This window comes from Homo sapiens, chromosome 2 (genome assembly GCF_000001405.40).
Source record: "Homo sapiens chromosome 2, GRCh38.p14 Primary Assembly".
NCBI classification, from domain to species: domain Eukaryota; kingdom Metazoa; phylum Chordata; class Mammalia; order Primates; family Hominidae; genus Homo; species Homo sapiens.
In genome coordinates, this window is record NC_000002.12 from 42,298,573 (window position 1) to 42,313,142 (window position 14,570).

Sequence of the window (14,570 nt, forward strand, 5' to 3'; positions counted from 1 at the left end):
AATTTTTTAAGCTAAGTCGATACTAGGTCCACCTCAGGAAATAACTTTCCTGGAGTGAGAAGGACTCACTGACTTGATCACTATATAGAGTATTTTTATTTCTGATGAAGCATTTTTTTCTTCATTTTTTTTTCCAGTTTTCCATCATTCTGGGAGGATTTTAAGTGTTTAACAAGGTTTTTGTCATGTTTAGAAATACGGAAAGCAGACTTAAGCATAGAAAAGCTTTATTTTCTTACATTCTGATAGAGAACTATGAAACTCCCACACCTTTGCTTTTTGTGTTTTCTTACATGATACCTTCAGGCTACTCTTGTTAGTTTGACCATGCACAGGGAAATAAGCCTAGAATTTGCTTTTCTCTATTTTTATTATCCAAATAAAGCCAGTAGTACTCTCAGAAAATTCTCATCTCTCAGGTGTCCTCCCTCTCGTGGTAACATCAGAACAGAGATAGATACTTATCTACCTATGCCAGTGAACACAGTTGTGTTGTTCAATTTTTAAGGTATTTTTAGATGATAAATATTGATGTAAGTGGAGACAGTTGACCTGAACAGCAAGTTTGTTGGAGTTCTACTTCCAGCTCTGCTGAATTGGGCAAGTTCTCCTCCAAATCAAGCAAGCCCTTTCCTGTCTCCCTGCCATATATACCCATCTGTTAAGTATTTGTACCACTAGCATACTCAAACTGAGACATAATTTTTTTTAGGATACCAAAGCCTTAGAAATTTTAGTCAATTTGTTAAGTATAATAGCAGCTCAAATAGATGAGTAAAAAAGAACAATCTCAGTAACAACTTCGATATATAATTCACATACCATGAAATCTACCCTGTTGAAGTATGCCTTTAAGTTCAGTGGTTTTTAGTATATTTACAAGGTTGTGCAGCCATCACCACTATCTGACCTAAGGACATTTTCATCACCCCAAAAAGAAAGCCTGTACCCATTAGTAGTCACTTTCTATTTCTCCCTCCCCTCAGCCCCTAGGTAACCACCAATTTCCTTTAGGTCTCTATAGATTTACTTGTTGATGACATTTCATATAAATGGAGTCATACAATGTGTGGTCTTTTATGACTTGCTTCTTTCACTTAGTTTTTTTTGTTTTGTTTTGTTTGTTTGTTTTTTGAGATGGAGTTTCACTCTTGTTGCCCAGGCTGGAGTGCAGTGGTGCGATTTCGGCTCACTGAACCTCCGCCTCCCAGGTTCAAGCGATTCTCCTGCCTCAGCCTCCCAAGTAGCTGGGATTACAGGCATGTGCCATCATGCCCGGCTAATTTTGTGTTTTTAGTAGAGAGGGTTTTGCCATGTTGGCCAGGTTGGTTTCAAACATCTGACCTCAGGTGATCCACCCACCTCGGCCTCCCAAAGTGCTGGGATTACAGGTGTGAGCCACAGTGCCCAGCCTTCACTTAGCATTATGTTTTTAAGATTCATCCATGTGGTGGTAGCATGTGTCAATACCTCATTCCTTTTTATGGCTGAGTAATATCACATTGTATAGACATACTGTGTTTTTAAAATCTATTCATCAGTTGAGGAACAGTTTTAGAAAATGAATAGTTGTTAAACCTGAATTTTTTCAAGAGGACTAAGGGCTGTTTATTGACTTACTTTGGCCATATTTCAATAAGGTTCTACCTTCCCATTTTGAACCTGGTAACTAATTCTGTAGGACATCATCTTCCAAAAAGCTTTACTCTTGCTCTGCTAGCCTATCTAGCTAAAGAGCTTCTCTGAGTAAGGCATTTATGAATACCAAAGAAAAAGGTATGAGTACTATCATCTTATTCTCACCCTTAAAAGGGGGCAAAATATAATTTAAAAAACCACATGTGTTTGCCTAAAAGACCTTTTATGTACCCCCTTGGTCTCTCCCTGGGTACTTAACAAAGTGTGCTATGGGTATACAAGAAAACTGGGCTGTTATTTAGCCATCACATTGGTACAGCTGAATCAATTTTTAAAATACTGAAATTATTCTCTGCTAGTAGGTCAAAAGCCATCACTGCAGGTATCCATTGCCTACCTTTGTCCCAATAACTTCTGTAGTGCCCCCATATCTCAGCAAATAAAGGGGAGTAATCCTTGGCACAGCAGAAGGCCTCTGGGTTAACAATGGTTGTAAAACGTTAAACGTTGTGACTGTTACCTCAGAAGGTCAACCAAAGATGTTTTTGCAAAGTTAAAGGAACATCAAGGTGGGAGACTTGAGCCTAGTCACAGCTTTGTTATTAGCTAACTATGTGGTATCCCCTAAGCTGCTCCTGTACCTCTTGTGTCTTGAGCTCTCATATCAGAAGAGTGACACCTACCCTAGCTACCATACAAGATGATTATGAGAGATAGTAAAGTTCTGAAACCTATACTATATCCCCTTTCGTCTGTGGAATTATCACTACTTTTGCTTTGGTTTTTTGTAGGAAAATATTTTGAAATATTTTCAGAGTAAATAAATATTGACAGAAATGCAAAAGATTGTATTATACCCTAAACTTTACTACCTGCTTTGCACAAAAGACTTGCTGAAAATAGGTTTTTGATTGAGTCATATGAACTTTCTGATTATTAACTCTAGTTCTACTGAAGTTTTCTTCCAAATAGACACTAAAATCTGAAGAAAAGTATTATCACTAGTGTTTTTATTTTTCCCTCATATTAGGTGTATATCAAATCAGCAAACAAATCAAAGCTCATGATGGCAGTGTGTTCACACTTTGTCAGATGAGAAATGGGATGTTATTAACTGGAGGAGGGAAAGACAGAAAAATAATTCTGTGGGATCATGATCTGAATCCTGAAAGAGAAATAGAGGTAAGGATGGAAACGGAATATAAAAATATTAAATACTCTAAACTCAGGTATTTTGTCCCACATTAAGATAACTTATACTTTTCTGGCAAACTTATTAAATTCTTATAATTTCATTTCCTTTCCTCAAGAAAGGAGTTTGTTGTTGCCTTTAAGATAACTTTTTTCAAAAAAAAAAGACCATTAAAATAATTTGAAAGACTATTTTTAAAGATTAGGCAGAATAATTTGCCTGTTAAAACCAGAGCAAATGTCACAAAGTTTAATTTTTCTTCTCTTTTTTGGTGATTTATATTTTGGATTTATGCTTAGTGTTTTTTTTTCTACGTGTAGCATTCTTTCCAGAGAAAATCTTCTGGAAAATCCTCTTAAAAAGAGGATCCTGATAGTACTGCTCTTGGATTTTATTTCCAGGAAGATAGATAATAAAGAGTTGCTTAATCACAACCTTCAGTTCATACTGAAAATGCAACTTCCATCACTGTTTTCTTCACAGATAACTCATATCCTTTGTTAATAAAAGCTATACAATCTAGTTCACTCCTTCCTTTCCCATTTCTAATGTAAATTTGGATTCCTCTTAGAGTTCAGTTATTTGTATTTTTAGGAGTAATTTTAGATCCCACTTGATAAAGTGGGATTTATAATTCCATTATTTCAGAATCATTCTTTGAGATTATTATTAAATGTATTAACACAGCATTCACTGAGATTGTTCCATGTATTGCATTAAATGAAATTGCTCTCCCAAGGAATCCTATTATTATAATACTTTATAATATATTGTTTTTTAATTTACAGAGAACTTCCACATTACATTTTTTTAATTGACACATTGTAATTGAACATATTTATGGGATACAATCTGATGTTTTGATGCAGATATGCTGTATAGTAATCCAGTCAGGGTAGTTAGTATGTCTGTTGCCTCATGCATTTATCATTTTTTTGTGGTGAGAATATTTTTATATTTTGATCCTTACAACAATCAAGAGTGGGTAGGGCATGTATTATTATCCTTATATTACAGAAAATGTTTCTTAGGCTAAGTAACTTACCCAAAGTAATGTAACTAATATAACTAATAAGTAACAAAACCCGACCACATTCTTCATGTGATTTCATGTGAGCTAATAGAACTTACTTCTTTTTTTTTTTTTTTGAGACAGAGTCTTGCTCTGTCGCCCAGGCTGGAATACAGTGGCCCAGTCTTGGCTAACTGCAACCTCTGCCTCCCGGATTCAAGCAATTCTCCTGCCTCAGCCTCCTCAGTAGCTGGGATTATAGGCGCCCGCCACCGCACCTGGCTGATTTTTATATTTTTAGTAGAGACAGGGTTTCACCATGTTGGCCAGGCTGGTCTCGAACTCCTGACCTCAGGTGATCCACCCGCATTGGCCTCCAAATGTGCTGGGATTACAGGTGTGAGCCACCATGCCCAGCCTTTTTTCCCTGTTCTTAACCCTTAACTCCTAAAGTCATATAAAATATACGTTTAAAATTAACTGAAGCAAAGAATGTTGATAATTATTATAACTTCTGTATAATAAAATGTCATTGGACAAATAAATTAGTAGTAGTATGAGATTACCATATCCAAATTTGGGCTTTCGTCATAATTACCTCATAATTGCTTACAGCTATAAATGCAGGCTTCGAGTAGTAATTAATGCATATTAGTATGTATATGGTGACTTTACACTTTTTTTTCTAGGTTCCTGATCAGTATGGCACAATCAGAGCTGTAGCAGAAGGAAAGGCAGATCAATTTTTAGTAGGCACATCACGAAACTTTATTTTACGAGGAACATTTAATGATGGCTTCCAAATAGAAGTACAGGTAAGCTGTGTGATATTAACCGTTAACTGAATATTTTTTATGATATTCTTTGGTTCTTATAACAATGAGTGTCTTTCATTTTCAGGGTCATACAGATGAGCTTTGGGGTCTTGCCACACATCCCTTCAAAGATTTGCTCTTGACATGTGCTCAGGACAGGCAGGTGTGCCTGTGGAACTCAATGGAACACAGGCTGGAATGGACCAGGCTGGTAGATGTGAGTGAAGCAGGATGTGATTATTAACCTCCCCACAGAAACTCCTCACACTGGCAGTTGAGAGCAGCAAAGTAAAAAGGACTAAGTGTTGATTCAAACCAAATGTAAACATATGGTTTAGTAATAGAGGGTGGAGATAAGAGGGTAGCGTTTAGTCTTAAAGTGTGAACATGAACCGATTTTAAAGAAGTAAGTTAGGCCGGGCAAGGTGGCTCACACCTGTAATCCCAGCACTTTGGGAGGCCCAGGCAGGCGGATCACGAGGTCAGGAGATCGAGACCATCCTGGCTAACACGGTGAAGCCCTGTCTCTAGTAAAAATACAAAAAATTAGCCAGGCGTGGTGGTGGGCGCCTGTAGTCCCAGCTACTCGAGAGGCTGAGGCAGGAGAATGGCATGAACCCGGGAGGCGGAGCTTGCAGTGAGCCGAGATCGTGCCAGTGCACTCCAGCCTGGGCAACAGAGCGAGACTCCGTCTCAAAAAATAAAAAATAGAAGAAGTAAGTTAGCAGCGTAAAAGCTCAATTTGTCCATCAGCTTCAGTAGTAAAATCATAAAGATTTCAAATATCTACATAGCATTAATTATTATGGAAACATTTGTGCCTCGGGTGGCATTGCAGTTGGATTCAGTAAGTGCTGCTCACTAACAGGCTCTACTGTCTTCTTTCTGGGTGGTCTCTTACTGTATTTTCTCTCTACCCAACCCAGATATCCACCTTCTCTAGCCCAAGAGGTGTATATAAGTTCTTTGTGGATGCTAAAGAACTGTACCAGTGTTTGTTGTTATTATCCTTATTATTGTTCCACTCCCTAGCCACAAGCTGGTTGTCCCTTTCCCTCACCACTCTGCCAGCATATCCCCTTCATGCTCTGAAATTCTTTTTCCTCTCATATCTGTGTGGTATTTCTCATTAGCTACAAAGTTGATTGAAATGTTATGTTTGAATGAAACAGGTTATTTTCAGAAGTTTTTGCTACTGTCCCCATAGGGAGACTTTCTCATGTACTCCCCAACAGCTGTCTGTCTCTTTTCTAGGAACCAGGACACTGTGCAGATTTTCATCCAAGTGGCACAGTGGTGGCCATAGGAACGCACTCAGGCAGGTAGGGTCTTTAAGTGAACTGAGTAATCTGAAGTGGTGGGATGTTTAAATGCTATTCAGGAATGTTCTCAATCTGATCTGGAGAATTAATCTCTTAAGTGGCACACTAATATGCTTGTTGTTCTTATCCGTTTTGTATATTCATAGAATTCAATTATTTATTGAGCACCTGCCTTTTGCGACATGCTACATGCTATTGTGTGTATTCAGAATACATCAGAAAACAAAACAAAAATTCCTGTCCTGTGAAGCCTACATTTTAGCGTGTATGGGACAGAATAAAAAATAAGCCCTGACGCAGCCAGGCACAGTAATCCCAGCACTTTGGGAGGCCAAGGTGGGCGGATCACCTGAGGTCAGGAGTTCGAAACCAGCCTGGCCAATGTAGCGAAACCCCGTCCCTACTAAAAATACAAAAATTAGCCAGGCGCAGTGGCACACACCTGTAATCCCAGCTATTCTGGAGGCTGAGGCAGGAGAATCAGTTGAACCTGGGAGACAGTTGCAGTGAGCCGAGATTGTGCCACTGCGCTCCAGCATGGGCAACAGAGCAAGACTCCATCTCAAAAAAAATAATAAGGCGAGTTGCAGTAGCCCACGCCAGTAATTCCAGTGCTTTGGGAGGCTGAGGCAGGAAGATTGCTTGAGGCCAGGAGTTTGAGACCAGCCTGGGTGAGACACCATCTCTACAAAAAATAAAAATAATAAACATTATCACGAATTATATTAGAAAATGTTAAGAACCATGTGAGGATAGGGAAAATGATGGGAGATTAAGAGGGAGTGCAGTTGCAAAATGATAGAGTGGTCATTATGGGCTTCATTGAAAAGGAGTTGCAGATTTGACTTTTCCTTTGTGAAATGAGAAGAATCAGAAAATTTCTCTCCTCATCTTTTATGCAGGGGAAGGATTTGAAGCTGATGTAACACCATTGAGCATTTATAAGTTGTTTGTGCTATACCTTTTGCCATCCTGTCTTTTTTAAATGCTACGCAGATATATAATAAAGATATATTTTCTAAAATAATTTAAGACCTGTCTTGCAGACCTTGTATAGTACCTAAGGTTAACATGTTTATGATTTATATATCTTTAATTGACTCAACTTTATTGCCTCTGCTAGTAAGTAGTCCTTCTCACATTTTTTAAGGAGACAAAAACATGAAGTCAATTTTCCCAAAATTAAACTCATTAAAAAATGTGGAATGCTGATTTTTAATGGGGTGAGACTATTGTGAACATGCTTATGTAAATATTTTTGTTTCTATATAAGACTTAAATACTTTAAACCAACTAATTCATTTAATTCTAACTAAATTTAGTCATTTAGAGGGGGTTTTTTTATAGCGATTTTTCCTTCTGGCTGTTAGATACAAATTAACACCTGAAATGTGAAAACATTCCAATTTCTTCTTACATATAGTGCTGCAGAATCTTTCAGAATAATGGAAAAATAGGTCTTTAAAGATAATTGAATTATGAATGTGAAACTAGAGATGCTATTGAGTGAAATCATTGAATTTTTAGAATTAGGCTGCTTGAGAGAGCATTTGGTGATACTTTGCAAATATAGAAGGCTAGCTCAGATCTTCCCCAAAACACGTAAGTAATAGATCATGATGAGGTTTAAAAGCACTTAGACTTGGACATTTGTCCATTTGGACCGAGTTTGGTCCATTCTCTTTGAGAAAGACACATGACAGGTAACTGTAGGATTTGGAGGAAATTATTTTCTTCAACCAAAAAAAATGGTTAAGCACACAGGAAACCATCTGAGGTGTAGTGCTGATCCAGTTTTCAGAAAACCACAAAGGAATTCACTTCAGATCTTTATTTTTGGCAGCTAAACAGATATCACAAATGCTAAAGTCCTTGAAATAATAAAAGTAAGAGATATCATTTATTCAGTGTCTGATGACCTTGTGCTAAATCCTTTTTTTTTTTTTTTTTTTTTTTTTTGAGATAGAGTCTCGCTCTGTCACCCAAGCTGGAGTGCAATGGCATGATCTTGGCTCACAGCAAGTTCCGCCTCCTGGGTTCACGCCATTCTCCTGCCTCAGCCTCCAAAGTAGCTGGGACTACAGGCGCCCTGCCACCACGCCTGGCTAATTTTTTTTTTTTTTTGTATTTTTAGTAGAGACAGAGTTTCACCGTGTTAGCCAGGATGGTCTCAATCTGACCTCGTGATCCTCCCGCCTCGGCCTCCCAAAGTGCTAGGATTACAGGTGTGAGCCACCGCACCTGGCCGCTAAATTCTTTTTATATGTTACTCTTCACAAGAATGTAACATAGTGTTTATTAATATCGTGATTGCACAGACAGGAAACCAAGACCCATAGAGTTCTGTTACCTGTGATTGAGCTCAGGTTCTGCATGGTTCCAAAGCTTGTCCTTTCCTCTAATCCAACAGTACTCTTTGAGATATTTACAGCATTAATTAGAAATATTGTTAGGAAGGTTTATCTTTGACAATTAAATCACTGATTGACATTGTTAAAGCATACTATGTATACAAGGGAGTTAAACACTAAATGGGCGATTGTAAGGCTAGCGGGGTTTGAATCATGAAGATAAACTGCTTTGGTTGAAGAAAACACTGTGTGTTTACAAATAGACATACACGGCCCCAATTTGTAGGGAAAATTGTTCTGAAAAACTCACTGAAATTACTTTCCAGCATTTACATAGCTGTGAAGTCATCATTGACAAGCTTAAAATGGAAAGTCACTCAATTTTAGTGACTTAAACTAAAGGTAAGCCAATTGGTTTCTCTTGGAGTTGTAAGTAGAAAACACTTCATGAGAGTGATGTGATAACTAAATTGAAAGTGCTGGCAGTCCATTTGGGGATTGATTAGAATCTAGGGGAGATGTAGTTGTCAGTGTTCATTCTGTATGTAACTCCTGTCTTTGGTTTCAGATCTGGTTAGGTTCTGTTGATCCTTGGGGAACTTTCTCATTTGTTTTTATTTTTGCCTTGGATCTATGAATACCTGAATGTATTGTCTAAAATGGAAAAATCTTAATGTAGCCATTCTATTACTATCACTGACCCTAGGCCTGAAAAAAGTCACACCTAGGGTTAAGAAATTTTTATTTTATTTTATTTTATTTACTTATTTAGAGACAGTTTCCCTCTTTTGCCCAGGCTGGAGTGCAATGGCATGATCCCAGTTCACTGTAACCTCTGCCTCCCAGGCTCAAGCGATTCTTTAGCCTCAAGCCTCCTGAGTAGCTGGGATTACAGGCGCCCACCACCATACCCAGCTAATTTTTGTATTTCTAGTAGAGACAGGGTTTCGCCATGTTGGCCAGGCTGGTCTGGAACCCCTGGCCTCAAGTGATCACCTTGCCTGGGCCTCCCAGAGTACTGGGATTACAGGCGTGAGCCACCACGCCCAGCCAAGGACATTTTTCTAGTAGAATGCAACACATGTCCAAGTTGTGCATGATCCAAAAAAAGTGACTAGTAAAAAAAAGTAATGATGTCTTCATGTCCAGATCTAGATATCTTCTACTTCATGTAACTAAAGAGTAAGCACAGTGTGAATAAAGCATCAAATAAGTACAATTATCATTTTAAAATAATGTCTTATTAATGTAATTTTAAGAGAAAAAAATTAAACATATAACCTTAAGTGGACATAGTACTTCCTTAACACGTTAATGCTGCAGGGCACAGTGGCTCATGCCTGTAATCCCATCACTTTGGGAGGAGGCCAAGGCAGGTGGATTGCTTGAGCCCAGGAGTTTGAAACCAGCCTGGGCAACATGGCAAAACCCTGTCTTTACAAGAAAAATTTTAAAATTAGCCAGGCGTGGTGGTGTGTGCACCTGTAGTCCCTGCTACTCGGGAGGCTGAGGCAGGAGGATTGCTTTATCCCAGGAGGCAGAGGTTGCAATGAACTGAGATCACGCCATTGCACACCAGCCTGGGCACTGTCTCAAAACAAAAAACAAAAGTTAATGCTCACATAGAAAGGATTCTTTTTAACAACTTTGTTGAGATATAATTCACATAACCCCCCCAAAAAAGAAATAAAAAATAATTCAAATACTATAAAATTCACTGATTTAAGATATATAATTCAGTAAGTTCACAGGGTTATGCAGCTATCCTCACAGTCTAATTTCAGAACAATTTTTAACCCAGAAAGGAATCCTGTACCCATTAATAGTCATTCCCCATGACCCCACCCACCTCCCCCCTTACTCTAGGCAACTGACCCACTTTCTGTTTTTATAGGTTGTCTGTTCTGGGCATTTTCTATAAATGGAATGAATCATATAACGTGAAGTTTTGTGATGAGCTTCTTTCACTTAATGTTTTCAAGGTTTATCCACGTTAAGTACTTCATATATAGCATGTATTATGGCCAAATAACATTCCATTTTATGGATATACCACCTTCATCAACTGATGGACATAGGGGTTATTTCCACTTTTTGGCTACTATGAATAATGCTGCTACATACATTCATACATGAGCTTTAGAGTGGATATGTGTTTTCAGCTCTCTGGGATATAAAAGAGTAGAATTGTTGGGTTAAAACTCCATGTTTAACATTTTAAGACCAGGCACAATGGCTCACACCTGTAATCCCCACACTTTGGGAGGCTGAAGCAGGAGGATCACTTGAGCCTAGGAGTTTGAGACCAACCTGGGCAATATAGCAAGACCTTGCCTCTACAAAAAATAAAAAAAAAAATAGCCAGGCATGGTGGCACATGCCTGTGGTCCCAGCTACTCAGGAGCCTGAGGTGGGAGGATAATTTGAATCTGGGATGTCAAGGCTATCATAGTGAGCTATGATGGCACCACTGCACTCCAGCCTGGATGACAGAGCGAGACCCTTTCTCAAAACCAAAACAACCACCACAAAAAAAAAAAAAAAATTTTTTTTTTTTTGTTTAGGAACTACCAAACTTTTTCACAGCAGCCGTATTGTCTTATGATTCTACCAGCAATGTATGAGGGTTTCAGTTTCTCCACATCCTTGCCAGTACATATTATCTGTGTTTTGAGTATAGCCATCCTAGTGGGTGTGAAGTAGTTTTTCATTATGCTTTTGATTTGCATTTCTCTGATGGCTAATGATGTTGAGCATTTCTTCAAGTACTTATTGGCCACTTGTATATCCTCTTTAGAGAAATGTATGTTGAAATCCTGTGCCCATCTTTGAATTGGGTTGTCTGTTCTTGTAAGAGTTTTTTATATATTCTGGATACAGTTCCTTACAGATCTTTTTCAAATATTTTCCTCATTCTGAGGGTGGTCTTTTCACTTTCTTGATGTTGTTAATAGCACCAGAGTTTTAAGTTTTGATGTAGTTTAGTTTATCTGTTCTTTCTCTTGTTTCTTAAGCATAAATATTTACTTCTATGTTTTCTTCTAAGAGTTTTATAGTTTTAGCTCTTACCTTTAGGTCTCCAATTCGTCTTGAGTTAATCTTCATATATAGTATGGCCCAGTAGGTGTCCAACTTCATTCTTTTGTATGTGGATATTCAGTTACAGCACCATTTGTTGAAAAGACTTCTCTTTCTCCATTGAATAGTATTGGCACCATTTTTGAAAACAAATTGGCCAAAGATGTATGAGATTTTCTCTGGACTTTGAATTCTGTTCCATAAATATGTATATATATCTGTGCTTATGCCAGTTACCATAGTTGTAATCATTATGGGATTCTGTAAGGCCTAATGGATCTTTCTTCCTTTCTCCCCTTCCCCTTTCCCTTCCCATTCCCCTTTCCCTTCCCCTTTCCCTTTCCCTTCCCCTTCTCCTTCCCCTTCCCCTTCCCTTTTCCCTTTTGCAGAGTCTTGCTCTGTCTCCCAGGCTGGAGTGCAGTGACATAATCTCAGCTCACTTGCAGCCTCTGCCTCCTGGGTTCAAGTGATTCTCATGCCTCAACCTCCCAGGTAGCTGGGACTACAAGCGTGCACCACCATGCCTGGCTAATTTTTGTATTTTCAGTAGAGACAGGGTTTCACCATGTTGGTCAAGCTGGTCTTGAACTCCTGACCTCAAGTGATCTGCTTGTCTCAGCCTCCCAAAGTGCTGGAATTACAGGCATGAGCCCCCACTCCCAGCCAGAAGCTTGGTTCTAATGTATATACTCCAGACTAGAATAAGAATACAATGAAATAGTAAAAACTTAAATATTTATTTGGCCATCATGGTGGCTCAGGCCCAAGGCCCAGGCCGGAAGATCTCTTGAAGCCAGGAGTGAAACTTAAAAAACATTTTTTTTTAATTTGTAGAAAATCCCCTTGGCTAGAGGATTTGTTGTTAGAGATAGAGACTCTGAGCCCAAAAGTCTTTTCTGAAGGTAAAACATAGTCCTTACAATGAAAAGGGGTGAGAACTCCAAAATTATATATGGAAGTTGTATATCTTTAATAACAAACATTGAATTACTACTAAAAATGATTTACCAAAAGTAGAAGAATTAGTGTCTAATAATGTATTAATAATTAAAGAAATAGAAAACTTAGGCACGGTTTTGGTGGGGGTTTTTTGGTTTCTTTTTTGATAGTCACTATCTCTAACCAGTAAATGACTTAAGAGTTTTAGGTTTCTACACATTTTACCAAAACAGACACTCTAGGGTTTCATTACATTCTCAGGGAGTGTCCAAAGAGATAAAATTACATAGTTTTCCTAGGAAGATTAAACTGACTTTGAAACAGTCTTAAAACAGCATTAGTTAGGGCTTCTCCAAAATAAAAATTGGGCTGGTGCAGTGCTCACACCTGTAATCCCAGCACTTTGGGAGGCCAAGGTGGGAGGATTGCTTTAGCCTCGGAGTTCGAGACCAGCAACATGGCAAAACCCCTCCTCTACAAAAAATTAGCCAGGCGTGGTAGCACATGCTTTTGGTCCCAGCTACTTGGGAGGCTAAGGTGGGAGGATCACCTGAGAGCCTGGGAGGTTGAGGCTGCAGTAAACTGCACTCCAGCCTGGGCAACAGAGCGAGACCCTGTCTCAAAAAAAAAAAATGGTAATAATTTTTAAATGCATGAGAGTGTCATAAAGTTTCCATAAACTCATTAAAAACTCACCTGATACAGAGCAGTTCTGTATCTTGTCATTTTGGTGTGTCAGTTCAGTCTGAATTGGGATATTATTTTGTTCCCTTTCTCTAAAAAGGCACTTGGCATCAGCTTTGGCATTTCTAGGCCCAGAAGAATTTCAGAGGGATACTCATAAAAATTGGTTAATGAGTTACATTCTCAGAAGAAACATAACCTATGGGTACTGTCCAGTTGCAATAAAGTGTATGTCTTATGTGCTTTTTTTATTTTATATTTTACTTTTAATGTTATTTTAAAATAAAACAGAGATGAGGTCTCGCTACATTGACCAGTCTGGTTTTGAATTCCTGTGTTCAAGCAATCCTCCTGCCTCGGCCTCCCAAAGTGCTAGGATTGCAGACATGAGGCACCATGCCCGGCCTTCCTATGCACTTTTTGAAATGAAAATAATTGGTAAACATGAAGCATGTGGCTTCAAAGTGCCAGTTTTCCTGCTTATTAGCATTTAAACTCAAGTATTCACATATGAAAGATATTTACCTTACCTGAGTAGATAACAAAATTCGGTTAGCTTCCTGGAAGCTTCAGCTCACAGCTCACAAAATTACTAAAATTTATGAATGTGTTTAGTTAGAGATTTCACTGATAGGTTATAAATCAAAAATAAAATTCTAAGCCCCCCCCCACCATCGTCCCTGCCAGGGCATTCCAAAATTAACCTGAAAAACTGGTTCAGGCCGTAACAGGAAGGGAAGGTCATGCCTCGTTATAACCTCTTAGAATTCAGGAAAAGCCAACCAACATTTAATATTAATACAGCCCTTAAGTCTGATAAGAAACATTTACAGTCTATTCTCTCTGAAGCCTACCTAAAGACTTCATCTGCACAATAAAACTTTGGTCTCCACAACCCCATATCATAACCCAGACAATTCCTTTCTACTGATAATAACCAATTGCCAATCAGAATTTTTTTTTTTTTTTAGACGGGGTCTTGCTCTGTCGCCCAGGCTGGAGTGCAGTGGCGCAATCTCGGCTCACTGCAACCTCCACCTCCCGGGTTTAAATGATTCTTCTGCCTCAGCCTCCCAAGTAGCTGGGACTACAGGCGCGTGCCACCATGCCTGGCTAATTTTTTGTATTTTTACTAGAGATGGGGTTTCACCTTGTTAGCCAGGGTGGGCTCGATCTCCTGACCTCGTGATCCACTCACCTCGGCCTCTGAAAGTGCTGGGATTACAGGCATGAGCCACTGCGCCTGGCCTGCCTGTCAGAAAACTTTTAAATCTGCCTATAACCTGGAAGCCCCCACCTACCTTCAAGTTGTCCTGCCTTTCCCTACTGAACCAATGTATATCTTTTTTTTTTTTTTTTTTTTGAGATGGAGTCTCGCTCTGTCACCCAGGCTGGAGTGCAGTGGTGCCATGTCAGCTTGCGGCAAGCTCCACCGCCTGCGTTCACGCCATTCTCCTGCCTCAGCCTTCCAAGTAGCTGGGACTACAGGCGCCTGCTACCATGCCTGGCTAATTTTTTATATTCTTAGTAGAGATGGGG

The 14,570-nt window shown here is 39.0% G+C and overlaps 1 protein-coding gene across 8 annotated transcripts in view; it reads left to right on the forward strand.

Annotated features, from left to right (window-relative positions):
• Positions 1-14,570, forward strand: part of EML4 (EMAP like 4) — a 163,196-nt gene that overhangs the window by 129,220 nt on the left and 19,406 nt on the right. For all 8 annotated transcript variants that reach the window (XM_047443953.1, XM_006711992.3, NM_001410776.1 and 5 more), the window contains 4 exons: positions 2,669-2,820; positions 4,532-4,657; positions 4,743-4,874; positions 5,912-5,979. In XM_047443953.1, coding sequence (XP_047299909.1) covers positions 2,669-2,820; positions 4,532-4,657; positions 4,743-4,874; positions 5,912-5,979 — 478 coding nt within the window. The remainder of the gene's footprint in view (positions 1-2,668; positions 2,821-4,531; positions 4,658-4,742; positions 4,875-5,911; positions 5,980-14,570) is intronic.